This window comes from Homo sapiens, chromosome 2, assembly GCF_000001405.40.
Source record: "Homo sapiens chromosome 2, GRCh38.p14 Primary Assembly".
Taxonomy (NCBI): Eukaryota; Metazoa; Chordata; class Mammalia; order Primates; family Hominidae; genus Homo; species Homo sapiens.
In genome coordinates, this window is record NC_000002.12 from 33,725,075 (window position 1) to 33,743,925 (window position 18,851).

At 41.5% G+C, this 18,851-nt stretch overlaps 1 long non-coding RNA gene and 1 pseudogene across 2 annotated transcripts in view; one reads left to right on the forward strand and one right to left on the reverse strand.

Moving 5' to 3' along the window:
* LINC01317 (long intergenic non-protein coding RNA 1317) overlaps positions 1-18,851 on the forward strand; it is a 590,861-nt gene that overhangs the window by 18,189 nt on the left and 553,821 nt on the right. The gene's annotated exons all lie outside the window — the stretch shown is intronic.
* Positions 987-3,143, reverse strand: MYADML (myeloid associated differentiation marker like (pseudogene); annotated as a pseudogene). Its single transcript, NR_003143.2, has one exon. The product of NR_003143.2 is annotated as a myeloid associated differentiation marker like (pseudogene) (transcript).

Below are 18,851 nucleotides of genomic sequence, written 5' to 3' on the forward strand. Positions count from 1 at the left end.
TAAAAAATATATATATACACACACACACACACACACACACACACACATTTATATATATTGCACTATGCACGTGAGTCCCAGAGAAGCAGGAAGCAGCAGCAAGAAGCAACTAGCACACAGCAACACCCGGGCATGTGCACCACACACTCAAGCAAAGCCATTCCTCCGGCTAGGGCAGCAGCAATCCTCACCTTCCCATCAGCTCACAATAGAGAAAAAAGAAACCTCCTTTTTTTTTTTTTTTTTTGAGACTGAGTTTCGCTCTTGTTGCCCAGGCTGGAGTGCAATGGCATGATCTTGGCTCACTGCAACCTCTGCCTCCCAGGTTCAAGCGACTCTCGTCCCTCAGCCTCCCGGGTAGCTGGGATTACAGGTACCCACCACCATGCCTGGCTAATTTTTGTATTTTTAGTAGAGACAGGGTTTCACCACGGTGGCCAGGCTGGTCTCGAACTCCTGACCTCAGGTGATGCACCTGCCTTGGCCTCCCAAAGTGCTGGGATTACAGGCATGAGGCACCGTGACCGGCCATTTTTTTTTTTTTTTTTTTTTTAGAGATGGGGTCTGGCTCTGTTGCCCACGCTGGAGTGCAGTGGTGTGATCTTGGCTCACTGCAACCTCTGCCTCCTGGGTTCAAGCGAGTCTCCTGCCTAAGCCTCCTGAGTAGCTGGGACTGTAGGCACCCGCCATCACGCTGGGCTAATTTTTGTATTTTTAGTAGAGACGAATTTTTGCCATGTTGCCCAGGCTGGTCTCGAACTTCTGACCTCAAGTGATCCACCCACCTTGGCCTCCCAGAGTGCTGGGATTACAGGTGTGAGCCACCCTGCCAGGCCGAAACTTTTTTTTTTTTTTTTTTTTTTAAAGGCCACCTAGTAATTTCTGCCCTCATGACCAGGAAAAAGAAAAGAAAGAAAAAAAACCCAAGCTGGTACTGCCTTGAAGGGCGGAAGTGGCCATTTTCTCCTCTCTGCCAGAGCAGGACATGTTGTTTATTTATTTATTTACTTATTTCTTTCCACACGCTCTGAAGGACACCGTGTTAAAAGGACACAGTGTTAAATGTTATTTTTAACACTGAGGCTGGAAGGCCACATCACTGTCCCTCACAAATACTTCAAACAGTTGTCTTCAAGATCTTACGGTTCTTTGCCTGACTTTTTTTTTTTTTTTTTTTTTTTGATACCGCGAAGAACAGTTGGGATGAAAGGGATCCATCCATTGCTTCCTTTAAGATGGCCTCTAGGCAGTGGGTTTTCTGTAAGTCTGGCACAAATTCTGGAGCCAATCTCTGGCAAGGCAGAGTGCTAGGCGAGGTCTAGGGACCCAGGGTCTGCGCTTGAAGCCTCCCGCTCACTGGAAATTATTGACTTCCAGAGATACATACATTTTTTTTAATTTAAAGGGGAGGTGCACAGCACACCTTCCTCCACTGGGAGAAAGGGGGCCCAATTCCCACTCCCCCAAACACACACAAGTACACACTGACTAAGGCACAGCTAGGGCGGGGGCGGGCAGAAGGCCCCTTGGGAGGACGTGGCGCCACAGCTGCAATGGGTGTGGGGGTGTGGAGCTCATCACCGCTGGAGGTGCTTGGGGGCAGGAGAAGAAAAGCCTCAGGGCTCCCCAGGAAATAGGAGAAGATGGTCGGGAAATAGGCAGATAAGAAAACCAACAGGAAACCTAGAAAAGAATTGAGAGGAAAGAAACAAAAGAGAGAGTGGAAAAAGAGAAACGGGTGAAAACAGGTTGTGGGCAACAGAACAAAACAAGAAGGAAACAGCAGAGGAAAGGGAAGAACATACATCAGAGAACTGGGAAAGTGCGATGAATTGGGAAGGAAAGAAAAGGGGAGGAGGGGAGATAGGGAAGAGGAAAACCCAGGAAATGAATACTCAATAAAGAAAACTCAGCGGGGGCAGGATGAAGAGGTTGGAGAGGCAAACGGGGCCCTTTGGGAGTCTTAGACCTTGACAAAAACCAGGTGGGCAGAGTACACCAGGTCGCCCACATAGGCCAGCAAGTTGACGGCCGTCAGGTTGGTCACAGCCAGTCGGCGGTCCCAGATACACACAAGGTAGGGGTTTCTGTCGCTGCAGCTCACATCTCTCGTCTGCCAGGGCTGGACACCATACTTCTCGTTGAACTGGTAGAGGGGCCAGAGGACAAGGGCAGTGGCATAGAGGAGGACGGACAGCAAGGCCAGCCCCAACAGGAAACTGGGGAAGCGGATGGGCAGCATGTTGGTGCAGTGCCCCAGGCTCAGCAGGATAGTGAGGGCCGCCAGGACGAAGCAGAGGGCGTACACCGCCACCCACCACTCCAGGGCCGGCCGGTTGTGGTACACGTAGGGGCTATTGATGAACACGAAGATGAGGCAGGCCACGAAGGTCTCCAGCACCTTCAGCAGCCCCAGCTCGGAGGCCATGTAGTCAGTGATCTCGCCGGGCCGGGCCCGGGTCCAGGTTACTTCGGTGGCGTAAGCCACACAGGCGATGCCAGAGAAGACGATGGCGGCGATGGCGTGGTCGCGGGAACGGCCGTGGGACAGGAACTGCAAGTAGGTGGTGGGGTAGATGATGGAGGCCGAGAGGCACAAGAGGGCCGCATAGCAGGCAAAGGTGATGGGGAAGTTGCGCCAAAACAAGGGGAAGCGGGCCTGGGAGCCGCCCAGCTCCACGAGGAGGATGACCAGGGTCATGGCAAAGCAGAAACACTAGGTGAACATGGACCAGTTACCCATAGGCCCCTTCCAGGCGCCCACGCTGGCCACCAGTGACAAGGCCACGCAGGTGGACACCAGCTGCAGCAGGCGGAGGAGGCCCAGGGGCTGGATCAGGGCCCTAGAGGACCCTACGACGGTGGGGGACCGCATGGTGGTCGTGACGGTTGGGTGGGTAACAGTCACCGGCATGGCAGCAGTCCTGGCTGAGGAACTCACGGAGAAAAGGTCTGGCTGTGGAAACGGATTAAGTCACACGCCTGGAAAAGGCTGGGAACAGCGAGAGACAATGTCAGTGTCCACTGGGTCTGGGCTTCTCCCTCCCAGGACCCGCCACCCCGTGGAACAGGAACATAGCACCGAGCAGGGAAGAGACCTGGCCTTGACCCGGAGAAGTCCCGCCCCTCTCCTTCCACCAGTTCCACTACCTGTGTGGGCTGCGGCCCAGGAAACCCAGCGGAAGTGCACACCCCGGGCAGGCGTGGGCACGTGTGTGATGGTAACCCCGCTCTGGCAGGGGCCAGGGGGCAGGCGGTGGTGGTGGCAGGGCCTGGGGCAGCACTGAGGGGCCAGCGGCCCAGCAAGGCCCGACTCTCTCTCCTTATAAAGGCTTCAAGTCAGCCTAACCATTTTTAATTTTTTAATTTTTTTGAGATAGGGTCTCACTCTGTTGCCCAGGCTGGAGTGCAATGGCATGATCAGGGCTTACTGCAGCCTTGACCTCCCGGGCTTAGGTGATCCTCCCACTTCAGCCTCCCAGGTAGCTGGGAGTACTGACACCAGGCACCACCTGCCTGGCTAATTTTTTGTGTTTTTAGTGGAAGCGGGGTTTTGCCATGTTGCCCAGGCTGGTCTTGAACTCCTGGGCTCAAGTGATCCACCTGCCTCAGCTTTCCAAAGTGCTGGGGTCAGAGGCGTTGGAACCAAAGCAACTTCATCTTGAATAGGAGCTGGGTAAAATAAGGCTGAAACCTACTGGGCTGCATTCCAAGAGGTTAGGCATTCTAAGTCATAGGATGAGACAGGAGGTCAGCACAAGATATAGGTCATAAAGACCTTGCTGATAAAACAGTTTGCAGTAAAGAAGCCGGCTGAAACCCACCAAAACCAAGATGGTGATGAGAGTGTCTTGGTCATCCTCACTGCCAAACTCCCACCGGCACCATGACAGTTTACAAACGCCATGGAAACCTCAGTAAGTTACCCTGTATGGTCTAAAAAGGGGAGACATGAAGAATCCACCCCTTGTTTCTCATATAATCAGGAAATAACCATAAAAATGGGCAACCAGCAGCCCTCTGGGCTGCTCTGTGGAGTAGCCATTCTTTTATTCCTTTACTTTCCTAATCAACTTGCTTTCTTTGGAGTAGCCATTCTTTTAACTCCTTTAATTTCCTAATCAACTTGCTTTCACTTTACTGTATGGACTGTCCTTGAATTATTTCTTGATCAAGATCTAAGAACTCTCTCTTGAGGTCCAGATCGGCACCCCTTTCTGGTAACAATGGGATTACAGGCAAGAGTCACCATGCCTGGCTGTTGTTGTTATTATTGATCTATGGCCAAGACTTGCTCCAGGAAAATCTGCAGTCATACATTCATTCTGTTGCTTGTCATTCTTTGAGGTCCACACCCAAAGCCTAGTCTCTAGGGGCCACAGGCTCTGGGGAAGTGGGGGGCTGAGAAGCCATGCACTCACCTTCACCCTTTCTTTGCATCTGCTTTGTGCAGCTCTACTCTCTCAGGCCATCTGCCCTTGGATGAATAAGTGCCCTGGCTCTCTTATAGACCCCAGTTTCAAAGTTCTTCATATTCATGTATTTGTTCATTCATTCATAAATTCATTCATTTATGTACTTCCTCATTCAAAGCGATACTTAGAAATTAAATATACTGAAAAGTTTCCTGAGGCAGAAATAATTGTATTCAAGCATATAAACACAACCACAGTTTCATTCTCTGCTGTTTTGAGAGTGAAAGCGTGTTTTTAAAAGAAGAAAAGACCTCAGAGAAAACTGCATGTTGATTGTGAGAGGCTGTGGAAGCAGTAAAGAAGCCAGCTAAAACCCACCAAAACCAAGATGGTGATGAGAGTGTCCTGGTCGTCCTCACTGCTACACTCCCACCCGTGCCATGATAGTTTACAAATGCTATGGAAACCCTCACAGTCCAAACCATGTGTGGGAGCAGTTGCCTCATTGGGGTACTAGGAGATACCAGCAGCACCCGGACTCCAGAGCCAAGTCTCTGCCCAGCACATGGCAGACACTTGCTCGTGCTACTTCTCTTCACTGTATGTTTACATTAAACGAGCATCTGTGTTCATCACATTATTGGGCAGGTAGCCATGTTCAGTATACATTATTTGTTTGAAGGTGTGACCAGCTTACATGGGGTGAGAATTTCAGTTGAGTCATTGGGTTTGAAGTCCCAAGTAGAAAATGTTATTTCCATAGAGCAAAAGGATGAGGAATGTTTGTAAACTTGTATTTGTTGCTTTTGTACTACTGAGGCTGTTGCTCATTGATGTTCAGAAAATCTAAGTCGGACTTTCAATATGGTCACTGAACTGGGTGCTGCAGGAAGTGACAGGCTGCTGCTAGTGTTACCCACATAATGCAAAGTTGCTGCAAAAGCTCCTCCAGTCCTTTTTATGTAAATTCTAGTGACTAAAGAGAACATCTGAAGGCCCTGGTTTACAAAAGATGCCCTTATTCACCAATGTTCTTTTTAAAAGACATTTGTATGAGAATACATTACTGACAATTATAACATGTTCAATTTGGTCAGTTTGCTTTTTTTTTTAAATGTATCTGATATTCACCTGCATTGCTGATTTTAAGAAGTGCTTTCATATATGTTGCCTTGATTTTGATGTCATGTTTCTATAGATCTCTGAGACACATCTTCTGTGTGCATTATATTGTCAAGCATTAGGAGTTTAGTTCTTATCTCTACCTTGAGGGACCAGAATGGACCTGTGATGCAGGAAGGATGCCTGCACACTGGCAGACTTATTGTAGTCAAGGATTTTGTATTGGAAAACCTTAAAAAATAATTTTCCTGGCTTTAAGATATAATAGATATTTACTGTAAAATGTTTGCAACTAGAAGAAGTTATAAAAAAGAAAATAAAATTACAATCTGACTGTGTATGTAAACACACATAATTATTACCTCCCTTAACACCTCTTCCCTGGATCAATTTAACAAAATTATACTCTCTTTGCTTACTCAGCATTATATTTGAAAATTTAACCATATCATTATATATATATATGCATCTGCTTTGTGCAGCTTTTATATATATAATAATATATAATAAGTATATATATTATATATATATAATTTTAATAAGTATATATATTATATATATATATAATATATATATATTATATATATATATATATATATATATAATATATATATATACTTAGAGGCAGGGTCTTGGGTCTTGCCCTGTTTCTCAGGCTGGAGTGCAGCAGCACAATCATAGCTCATTGCAGCCGTGAACTCCTGGGCTCAAGCAGTCTTTCTGCCTCAGCCTCCCAAGTAGCTGAAACTACAGGGGTATGCCACCACGCCAAGCTAATTAAATAATGTTTTTGTTTTGTTTGTTTTGTTTTATTTGTTTTTAGAGACAAGCTCTTATTATGTTGCTCAGGCTGGTGTTGAACACCTGGCCTCAAATGCGCCTCCTGCCTCAGCCACCCATAGTGCTGTGCCTGGCTCATCATACTTTTAAAAATAGTTATTTTTAGTGGTTGCATAACATTCTGTTCTTTGGATAGATAGTTTACCATCTGTCACTTATGTTTGGTCATTTCAATTGTTCCTAAGTTTTTTTGCAATTATTCACAATGTTATAAATAGAAAATAAGTGCTGGTATGATTTATAGATGGTACTAATAGTATTCTAAAATGTTGGTATTAATCTGGATTATGGCAAAATCCTAATCTGGATAATATTCCAACATGCTAATCCTAATCTGGATTGTGGACTCCTCCCAAGTCTATCTTTCCTGCCTGTCTTTGGTTCTGGCTCCCACATCACTTCTCTCATCTGCCTTTCCTTAACTTCAGGACATACTGGGTTCCAGTATGTCCTTAACTTTCCTTAACTTCAGGACATACTGGGTTCCAGCCCAGGCTCTGCCCCTCACAGTTAGTAGAAGGTTAGAAGTTTATGCATTATGACTAACTTTTGTGTTATGATTAATATGTAGCTTGGTTTGAAGTTTGTTCCTAAGATTACACAGCAATCAGTTTTTCAGTGAATGTAGTCATATTCTTTTTTTTTTTTTTTTTTTTTTTTGAGACGGAGTCTCGCTCTGTCGCCCAGGCTGGAGTGCAGTGGCGGGATCTCGGCTCACTGCAAGCTCCGCCTCCCGGGTTCACGCCATTCTCCTGCCTCAGCCTCCCAAGTAGCTGGGACTACAGGCGCCCGCCACTACGCCCGGCTAATTTTTTGTATTTTTAGTAGAGACGGGGTTTCACCGTTTTAGCCGGGATGGTCTCGATCTCCTGACCTCGTGATCCGCCCGCCTCGGCCTCCCAAAGTGCTGGGATTACAGGCGTGAGCCACCGCGCCCGGCCGTCATATTCTTAATTCAGTATTCTACTTCTTTGTTTAGTGAGCTACTCTTTAAGACCCAAAAAGGACCAGATAATACGGTAGAAAAAAGTACAAAACCTTTCAAGTGTATTCTCCTATATTCATGGTTACTTTCTGGAATAAATACTGAGAATAGTCCACCTCATTCCATGAAGTAGTTCTTATGATTTAAAAGAATCATAAAATAAAAGAAGAAAAAAAGACAAATCAAAATGGAATCATGAAAAATAAATCCTGACTCAGATAAGAGTTTAAACCTAAGGGAAAGCTTTAGAACCACAGAAATGTGGCCCAGATGGCCCCAACGGTTATGAATGTTGAACTTGAATTAGGCCCTGAACTGCTAGATCAAAATGAGAACGATGTTCTGTCCCATAATTCGCAATAATCTCAAACTGAAAACGTACCCTGCATTATGGGTTAAAGCAATTTGTGAAGCACAGAAATAGTTTTACCTTATTCAACCTATCCTTTAAATTTCGCTAAAGGCATCCTGGAATATTTTATGATTGTTCATGATTAAAGGCATCCTAGAATATTTTATGACTATCTTCCCACTGAGGCATACTCCATGAAAAACTGAAAAGTAAAACACAGAAATGGTGACCTCCGTTGTACATTCAAAATATCTATGGTTTGTTCATCTGGGTGTGATTTGAGACTCCAAACCTCTCTTTAAATATATGTATTCATTTTTGACTAGATGATATATTCACATCACATGGTTCAAAACACACAAGGCGCAAAAGGACATACAGTAAACATCTTCCTCTCATCTCTGTCCCACAGCCACCCAGTTCCTCCGCCAGAGGAAACCCATGTCACCCAATCTTTTTTTTTTTTTCCCCCTGGCTGGAGTGCAGTGGCTGGATCTCTGCTTGCTGTAAGCTCCGCCTCCCGGGTTCACGCCATTCTCCTGCCTCAGCCTTCGGAGTAGCTGGGACTACAGGCGCTGGCCACCATGCCCGGCTAATTTTTTGTATTTTTAGTAGACACGGGGTTTCACCGTGTTAGCCGGGATGATCTTGATCTCCTGACCTCGTGATCCACCCTCCTTGGCCTCCCAAAGTGCTGGGATTACAGGCGTGAGCCACCGCGCCCGGCCACACCCAGTCTTTTTGTAGGGTCTTGGGGATTAGGTGAAACCATCAAATGAGATCAAGAAAAAATAAGTACAGTTTATCAGATGATTTCAACACTTGGCTTGAGGAAAGAGGAATGCCAATAACCGCACTCCCAAAGTGTTGACCTAGTTTAGCTTTTGTGATTTCTGCGGTCATGGCTGCTTCCTGGGCATGTTACCTGTAAAGTTGCACTGAGCTCCCTGTGCCTGGCTTAGTGCTCTGCTCTCACCATCTTGAAATTCCTAATGCATTTTCATTATGGGCCGGGTTCTGCTAATTATGTAGCTAGTCCTGTTAGTGATACTTTTGAGATTAAAAACAATAGGATAATTTATGACTCGAGTAGTCCATGACTGACATGAGACAGTTGCTTGCTGTGAAAAAAATTCAGATTCTCACCTGTCTCTGAGGTTCACAGGGTTGAAACATTTGCTAAAACAGTGAGAAACCTCCTGATTGAATAAAATTTCTAAAAGAATGGGAAAATACCAAACTGAATAGTAATGAGCTGCTTTTGAATATTAAATTCCAGATAGATTTATTATGTTTACACAATTGTATGTTTAATATTTACTATATTCTTAAAGACTATAGGTTTGTTTTTGGCAATTGACATTTTAACCATATTGGAGTGGGGTCAAGGCTCCGGTAGAAATCTGTCAATAAATATGTAGTACCCTGTGGTTGTGTTTTGAACATGAGCCCTTACTAAGTCTTCATAATAAGGGATATGAGGCCAGAAGGTGACATTCCAGCCTAGTGCAGACCTCATGGGAGTAGGGTTGCCAGATAAAATATAGGACACTCAGCTAAATTTAAATAAACAACAAATAATTTCTTTAGTATAAGTATGTGCTAAATGTTGCATAATTATGTATGTGCTAAATAAAACTAAATATACTAAATATAACACTTGAGACATTTATACTAAATATTATATAAATAAATATACTAAATGTAACATTTGCAACATAATATACTAAAAAATCATTAGTTGTTTGTCTGAAATTCAAATTTAACGGCATTTCCTTTATCATTACCTACTAAATCTGGTCATTCCATTTGTGGAACAAGATAACCAAGAGAATTGTAGAAGAAGTTGCAGACTCGACTTGAACTTAGCGTCCCACTGCTTAGGGTCAAATGCTGGGTTATAGTGGGGAGATGTGAAAGTTAGGTAAGAGCCCACTGCACACTTGTTACACAGGTTGAATATCCCTTATCTGAAATGCTTGGGAGTAGATTGTTTTAGATTTTGGATAGTTTCAGATACTTGCATATATATTAATATAATGTGATATCTTGGGGACAGGACCCAAGTCTAAACATAATGTTTGTTTATGTTTTATATGTATCATATATACATATCTTGAAGGTAATTTTATATAATATTTTAAATAATTTTGTTCATGAAACAAAGTGTGTGTGCATCGATCCATCAGAATGCAACCCTTTTGGACAATATGTGGTTGTTTGGCCTCACCATAATTCCTGACTCTGAATTTATATGCTACTGATAAGCAATCATTTTCTCACACTTATTCACATATAAGTACTTAACCATAAAAAGTATGATATATCATTAATACAGTGAAAAAATGTGTTCAGGGTAGGTAAGCAGCCCAGTAACATCACTAGAATACCAGTAATCTGCTATTAAAAATCAGCAATAACAAGTGACAGGCTTTCAGTCTCCACCTATGATGCTATGTTTTGATTAAATGGTTACTATGTACTGGTTTTTTTTCTTTGTAAGAGGAAACATCAGAAGCACTTGAAAGACCAGGAAGTGAGTCCTCTAGGGATGAGAAGGCATTCTGCTGGATGTCTTTTTAAAAATATTCCTCCAAAGTCATCTGCCTCATTAACAACATTTTTGTCTTGAAAGTCTCCTTTGATTTTACGAACTGACATTATTTCTTGTTGTGTTATGAACAAACACTGCTCTAGTCCTTCAATAAGCCCATCACACATTTTCACCATGTTGTCTATAGGCACCTTTTCTGCAGTGTTAATGTAATCTTCATCATCACTGTTATGATCACTTGATTCAAAACTATTTCAGGCCAGGCGTGGTGACTCATGCCTGTAATCTCAGCACTTTGGAAGGCTGAGGTGGACAGATCACCTGAGGTCAGGAGTTCAAGACCAGCCTGGCCAACATGGCAAAACCCGGACTCTACTAAAAATACAAAAAGTAGCTGGGCGTGGTGGTGGCCGCCTGTAATTCCAGCTACTCAGGAGGCAGAGGCAGGAGAATCACTTGAACCCAGGAGGTGGAGGTTGCAGCGAGCCGAGATCACACCACTGTACTCTAGCCTGGGTGAGAGTGAGACTCTGTCACCAAAAAAAACCAAGAGAAAACCCCAAAACTAATTCAGTTATTTTACCATCAGCGAATGAACATGTGGGGCTTCATTATTGATGTTAAAAACTTCTTTGATTGGCCAGGCGCAGTGGCTCACACCTGTAATCCCAGCACTTTGGGAGGCTGGGAGGATCATGAGATCAGGAGATCGAGACCATCTTGGCCAACATGGTGAAACCCCGTCTCTACTAAAATACAAAAAATTAGTCGAGCGTGGTGGTGCGTGCCTGTAATCCCAGCTACTTGGGAGGCTGGGGCAGAGGAATTGCTTGAACCCGGGAGGTGGAGGTTGCAGTGAGCCAAGGTCACGCCATTGCACTCCAGCCTGGGCAACAAGAGTGAAACTCCATCTCAAAAAAACAAAAACAAAACAGGAAAACAAAAAAAAGCTTCTTTGATCTCCATGTCCTCCAGCTCACTGACACACTGTGAGGGTCTATTTTTTGCATATGTAAGGAGGATAGACATTATTTTATCTCACTTGACATATAGGATCCTTCAAAATCACCACCTTGTTCATCATTATCACTGAACATAGCTGCAGGCCAGAGGTTGTGCCAGGTATGCACAACTGTGTCTTCAGTTAGAACTATGTTCCAACAGTTGGCAATAGCATACATGGCATCCTTCATGCTAAACTCCTTTTGAAAACCTTCCACATTCATGCCTCTGTTCACTGCTGCTAGCATGCTGTTCAAGAAAGTGTTTTTATATTTACTCTTTATTGATTTAAGGATACCCTGGTCACATGACTGAATGAGTGAAGTAACATTTGGGGAAAAGTACATGGCATACACAGTGTTTTTTGATGAGAATTTCAGCTGGAGGATGAACAGAGCAGTTGTCAAGGAATAACAGTCTCGTAGTTGTCATTTACTCCAGCTTCCCTGTAGTGAGCACCAGCAAAATGTTTGTAAAACCAATCAGAAAAGATGTCCCTGGCGATCCATGCTTTTTTGCTAGTGTAAAAATGGGCTGGTGAGAAATTCACTCTTCAAAAACAATGAGAATGCAAGCTTTTGCCTAACAGCAAGTTTGCACTTATGTGTGCCTGCTGCATTAGTACATCCCAGCACAGTTATTCTATTGTTGGCATCCTTAATTCCTCTATTGACTATCTCCTCAAGTGTAGTCAAGTGTCTTTCTGGGGCAATAATGCCAAAATGGTGATGTTTCATCAACACTATAGACTTGTTTTGGTGTCAGATTTTCATCAGCAACAACCTTGGCAAACTCATCAATTAATTTTTCTGCTGCTTTGTAATCAGCAGATGCTTAATCACCACAAACTGAAAAAAATTTTGCCATGCTTTTTCTTAAATTTCAGCAACCAGCTCATTGAATATTCACAGTTCCTTCCATTTTCACTTCATCATGACAGATCTTTGTTTCATGATCAACATACCATTAAGTGGCATGTGTTCACTGCAACACTGATGGATTCAAGACACGATTGAGAACTTCATTTATCTGTAGCTTTTTTTTTTTTTTTTTTTTTGGAGACAGATTCTTGCTCTGTCACCCAGGCTGGAGTGCAGTGACGCGATCTCGGCTCACTGCAACCTCCACCTCTGACTCCCGGGTTCAAGTGATTCTCCTGCCTCAGCCTCCCGAGATGGGATTACAGACGCCTGCCACCACGCCTGGGTAATTTTTGTATTTTTAGTAGAGACAGTGTTTTGCCATATTGGTCAGGCTGGTCTTGAACCCCTGACCTCAGGTGATCTGCCTGCCTCGGCCTCCCAAAGTGCTGGGATTACAGACGTGAGCCACCATGACCAGCCGAGGTATTTGCTTTATTGGGGTGGTCTGGAATGGAACCCTCATAAACTTAGAAATATGCCTGTACTATGTGCTGGTAACTGTGTTAATGTGCTTTGCTTGATTAATTTAATTTTATTATCACAACAATATTATGAGAGAAAAACTAATATTAACCTATCTTAAAAGATGATAAAAAGGGTCCCTACTGCAAAATTGTAATATAATACCATAGAAATTCACCTTTTTAAAAGTATATAATTCAGTGATTTTTGGTATATTCACAAGGTTATGCAACCATTCCCATGATATATTTTTATTTTTTAAATTTTAATAATATATTTTATTTAACAAAATATACCCAAAACATTGTAATTTCAGTATGCAATCAATAGAAAAATTATTGAGATATTTTTTATTCTTTTGTCATACTAAATATGGTATATATTTCACACTTAAAAGACATCTCAAATGCTCAATAGCCACATATATCTACTGGCTACTCTACTAGCATAGCATTAGAGAGATATAGAGACTACTATTGACTTTTTCAAAACAGTTTATTTTTAACTAATTATAGATTCACAAGATGACAAGAAAAGTGGAGTAAGGCCTTGTATACCCTTCATTCTGCTTCCAGTAATGCCGATATCTTATTATAATAATTATAGTACAATAAAAAAACCAGGAAATCGATTCTCGTCTGTTGTTGCCTTTTTAAAAATCTTTTCAGTGTATTAAAAAAATTTTTTTTCAATAGGGTTTTGGGAAGCAGGTGGTGTTTGGTTACATAAATAAGTTCTTTAGTGGTAATTTCTGAGATTTTGATGTATCCATAACCCAAGCAGTGTACACTGTACCTAATGTGTAGTCTTTTATCCATCACCCGCCTTCCACCCTTTCCCTCTAGTCCCCAAAGTCCATTGTATGGACTTATTTCTTAAAATAAGAAATTGCATCCTCATAGCTAAGCTCCTGATTGTGAGAGAGAACACGTGATGTTTGGTTTTCCATTCCTGAGTTACTTCACTTAGGATATAATTCTCTCTCTCTCTCTCTCTCGTGCTCTCTCTCTCTCTCTATATATATATATCACATTTTCTTTATCCACTTGTTGATTGGTAGGCATTTGGGCTAGTTCCATATTTTTGCAATTATGAATTGTGCTGCTATAAACGTGTGTGTGCAAGTATCTTTTTTGTATAATGGCTTCTTTTCCTTTGGGTTGATACCTAATGGTGGGATTGCTGGATCAAATGGAAGATCATTTTTAGTTCTTTAAGGAATGTCTACACTGTTTTCCACAGTGGTTGTACTAGTTTACATTCGCACCCACAGTGCAAAAGTGTTCCCTTTTTACCACATCCATGCCAACATCTATTAATTTTTGATTTTTTGAATATGGCCGTTCTTGCAGGAGTGAGGTGGTATCACCTTGCAGTTCTGATTTGCATTTCCCTGATAATCAGTGATGTTGAGCATTTTTCCATATGCTTGTTGTCCATTTGTGTGTCTTCTTTTGAGAATTGTCTATTCATGTCCTTAGCCCACTTTTTGATGGTATTGTTTGATTTTTTTCTTGCTGATTTGTTTGAGTTCTTTGTGGATTCTGGATATTAGTCCTTTTTCAAATGTATACATTGTGAAGATTTTTCTCCCACTCTGGGTTGTCTGTTGATTCTGCTGTTTCTTTTGCAGTGCAGAAGCTTTTTAGTTTAATTAAGTCCCATCTATTTACCTTTGTTTCTGTTGCATTTTCTTTTGGGTTCTATGTCATGAAGTCTTGCCTAAGCCAATGTCTAGAGGGGTTTTTCCAATGTTATCTTCTAGATTTGTTATGGTTTCAGGTCTTAGGTTTAAGTCTTTGATCCATCTTGAGTTGATTTTTGTATAAGGTGAAAGATGAGGATCCAGTTTCATTCTTCTACATGAGGCTTGTCAATTATCCCAGCACCATTTGTTGAATAGGGTGTCCTTTCCCCACTTTATGTTTTTGTTTGATTTGCTGAATATCAGTTGGCGGTAAGTATTTGGCTTTATTTCTGGGTTCTCTATTCTGTTCCATTGGTCTGTGTGCCTATTTTTATACCAGTACCATGCTGTTTCAGTGACTATGGCCTTATAGTATAGTTTGAAGTCAGGTAATGTGATGCCTCCACGTTTAATCTTTTTGCTTAGTCTTGCTTTGGCTATGTAGGCTCTTTTTTGGTTCCATATGAATTTTAGGATTGTTTTTTCTAGTTCTGTGAAGAATGATGGTGGTATTTTGATGGGAATTGCATTGAATTTGTAGATTGCTTTTGACAGTATGGTCATTGTCACAATATTGATTCTACCCATCCATAAGCATGGGATGTGTTTCCATTTGTGTTGTGTATAATTTCTTTCTGCAGTGTAGAGATCTTTCACCTCCTTGGTGAGGTATATTCCTAATTTTGTTGTTGTTGTTGTTGTTGTTGTTTTACAGCTGTTGTAAAAGTGGTTGAGTTCTTGATTTGACTCTCAGCTTAGTCACCATTGGTATATAGCAGAGCTATTGATTTGTGTGCATTAATTTTGTATCCTGAAACTTTACTGAATTCATTTACCAGTTCTAGGAGCGTTTCGGATGAGTCTTTAGGGTTTTATAGGCATATGATCATATCATCAGCAAACAGCAACAGTTTGACTTCCTATTTACCAATTTGGATGCCTATCATTCCTTTCTCTTGTCTGATTGTTCTGGCTAGAACTTCCAGTACTATGTTGAATAGAAGTGGTGAAACTGAGCATCTTTGTCTTGTTCCAGTTCTCATGGGGAATGCTTTATATTTTCCCCCATTCAGTATAATGTTGGCTGTAAATATGTCCTAGATGTCTATTACCTTAAGGTTGTCCCTTCTATGCCGATTTTGGTGAGGGCTTTAATCATAAACGGATGCTGGATTTTTTCAAATGTTTTTTCTGCAGCTACTGAGAGAATCATGTGATTTTTGTTTTTAATTCTGTTTATGTGGTGTATCACATTTATTGACTTACTTATGTTAAACCATCCCTGCATCTGTGGAAGCCCACTTGATCATGGTGGATTATCTTTTTGATATGCTGGTGGATTTGGTTAGCTAGTATTTTATTGAGGATTTTTGTATCTATGTTCATCAGGGATATTGGTCTGTAGTTTTCTTTTTTTGTTATATCCATCCCTGGTTTTGGTATTAGGGTGATGCTGGCTTCATAGAATGATTTAGTAAGGATTCCCTTTTTCTCTATCCTGTGGAATAGTGTAAGTAGGATTGGTACCATTCCTTCTTCGAATGTCTGATGGAATTCAGCTCTGAATCCATCTGGCCCAGGATTTTTTGTTGTTGTTGGCAGTTTTAAAATTACTATTTCAATCTTGCTGCTTATTATTGATCTGTTCAGAGTTTCTATATCTTCCTGGTTTAATCTAGGGGGGTTGTATATTTGCAATTTATCCATCTCCTCTAGGTTTTCTAGTTTATGTGCATAAAGGTGTTCATGGTAGCCTTGGATAATCTTGTATTTCTGTGGTGTCAGTAGTAATATCTCCTGTTTCATTTCTAATTGAGCTTATTTGAATCTTTTCTTTTCTGGGTTAATCTCACTAATCAATTTTGTTTATCTTTTCAAAGAACCAGCTTTTTGCTTCATTTATCTTGTGTATTTTTTGTTTGTTTCAATTGCATTTAGTTCTGCTCTGATCTTTGTTATTTTCTTTCTTCTGCTGGGTTTGGGTTTGGATTATTCTTGTTTCTGCAGTCCCATGAGGTGTGACCTTAGATCGTCTATTTGTGCTCTTTCACACTTTTTAATGTAGGCATTTAATGCTGTGAACTTTCCTCTTAGCACCACTTTTGCTGTATCCCAGAGGTTTTGATAGTTTTGTCACTATTATTGTTCAATTGTTCAGTTCAAAGAAGAATTTTTAAATTTCCATCTTTTTTTTTTTTTTTTTTTTTTGAGATGGAGTCTTGCTCTGTCACCCAGGCTGGAATGCAGTGGCGCAATCTCGGCTCACCGCAAGCTCTGCCTCCCAGGTTCACGCCATTCTCCTGCCTCAGCCTCCCGAGTAGCTGGGACTACAGGTGCCCGCCACCATGCCCAGCTAATTTTTTGTATTTTTAGCAGAGACAGGGCTTCACTGTGTTAGCCAGGATGGTCTCGATCTCCTGACCTGGTGATCCGCCTGCCTTGGCCTCCCAAAGTGCTGGGATTATAGGCGTGAGCCACCGAGCCTGGCCTAAATTTCCATCTTGATTTCATTGTTGACCCAGTGATTATTCAGGAGCAGGTTATTTAATTTCCATGTATTTGCGTGGTTTTTAGAGTTCCTTTTGGAATTATTTCCAATTTTATTCCACTGTGGTCTGAGAGAATACTTGAAATAATTTCAATTTTCTTAAATTTACTGAGACTTGTTTTGTGGTATATCATATAGTCTATCTTGGAGAATGCTTCATGTGCTGATGAATAGAATATATATTCTGCAGTTGTTGGGTAGAATGTTCTGTAAATATCTGTTAAGTCCATTTATTCTAGGGCATAGTTTAAGTCCATTGTTTTTTTTGTTGACTTCCTGTCTTGATGACCTGACTAGTGCTGTCAGTGGAGGATTAAGTCCTCCACTATTATTGTGTTGCCATCTATCTAATTTCTTAGGTCTATTAGCAATTGTTTTATAAATTTGGGAACTCCAGTGTTAGGTGCATATGTATTTAGGATTGTGATATTTTCCTGTTGGACTAGTCCTTTTATCATTGTATAATGTTCCTCTTTGTCTTTTTTTAACTGCTGTTGCTTTAAAGTTTATTTTGTCTGATATAAGAATAGCTACTCCTGCTCACTTTTGGTATTAATTTGCATGGAATATCTTTTTCCACCCCTTTACCTTAAGTATATGTGAGTCCCTATGTGTTACATAAGTCTCCTGAAGACAGCAGAAACTTGGTTGATGAATTCTTATCCATTCTACCATTCTGTATCTTTTAGGTGGAGCATTTATTCCATTTGCATTCAATGTTAGTATTGAGATGTGAGGTACTATTCTATTTATTGCCTTAATACCTTTTTAAAAAAATTTTGTTATTGTCGTATAGGTCCTGTGAGATTTATGCTTTAAGGAGGTTCTATTTTGGTGTATTTCAAGATTTGCTTCAATATTTAGAGCTCCTTTTTTTTTTTTTTGAGACAGAATCTCACTCTGTTGCCCAGGCTGGAGTGCAGTGGCGCAATCTTGGCTCACTGCAAGCTCCGCCTCCCGGGTTCACACCATTCTCCTGCTTCAGCCTCCGGAGTAGCTGGGACTACAGGTGCCCGCCACCATGCCTGGCTAATTTTTTGTATTTTTAGTAGAGACGGGGTTTCACTGTGGTCTTGATCTCCTGACCTTATGATCCGCCCACCTCGGCCTTCCACACTGCTGGGATTACAGGCGTGAGCCACTGCGCCCAGCCAAGATTTAGAGCTCCTTTTAGCTGTTCTGGTAGTGGTGGCCTGGTAATGGCGAATTTTCTCAGCATTTGTTTGTCTGGAAAAGACTGTATCTTTCATTCATTTATGAAGCTTAGTTTTTCTGGATACAAAAATTGTTTGTTTAAGGAGGCTAAAAATAGGACCCCAATCCCTTCTAGCTTGTAGGTTTTCTGCTGAGAAATATGCTGTTACTTTGATAGGTTTTCCCTTATAGGTTACTTGATGCTTTTGCCTCACAGCTGTTAAGATTCTTTCCTTTTCATCTTGACCTTAGATAACCTGACGACTATGTGCGTTGGTGATTATCTTTTTGCCATGAATTTCCCAGGTGTTCTTTGAGCTTCTTGTATTTGGATTTCTAGATCTCTAGGAAGGCCAGGGAGGTTTTCTTCAATTATTCCCTCAAATATGTTTTCCAGATTTTAGATTTCTCTTCTTCCTTGGGAACACCAATTATTCGTAGGTTGGATGCTTAATATAGTCCCAAACTTCTTGGAGCCTTTGTTCATTTTTTCTAATCCTTTTTTATTTCTCTTTGATGGGTTGGGTTAATTCAAAAGCCTTGTCTTTGAGCTCTGAAGTCCTTTCTTCTGCTTATTCGATTCTATTGCTGAGACTTTCTGAGCATTTTACTTTTCTCTGTGTCCTTGATTTCCAGAAATTGTGATTGTTTTTTGTTATCTATTTCACTGAAGATTTTCCCTTCATATCCTGTATCATGTTTTTGATTTCTTTAAGTTGGATTTCACCTTTCTTGGTGCCTTCTTGATACGCTTAACAATTGACCTT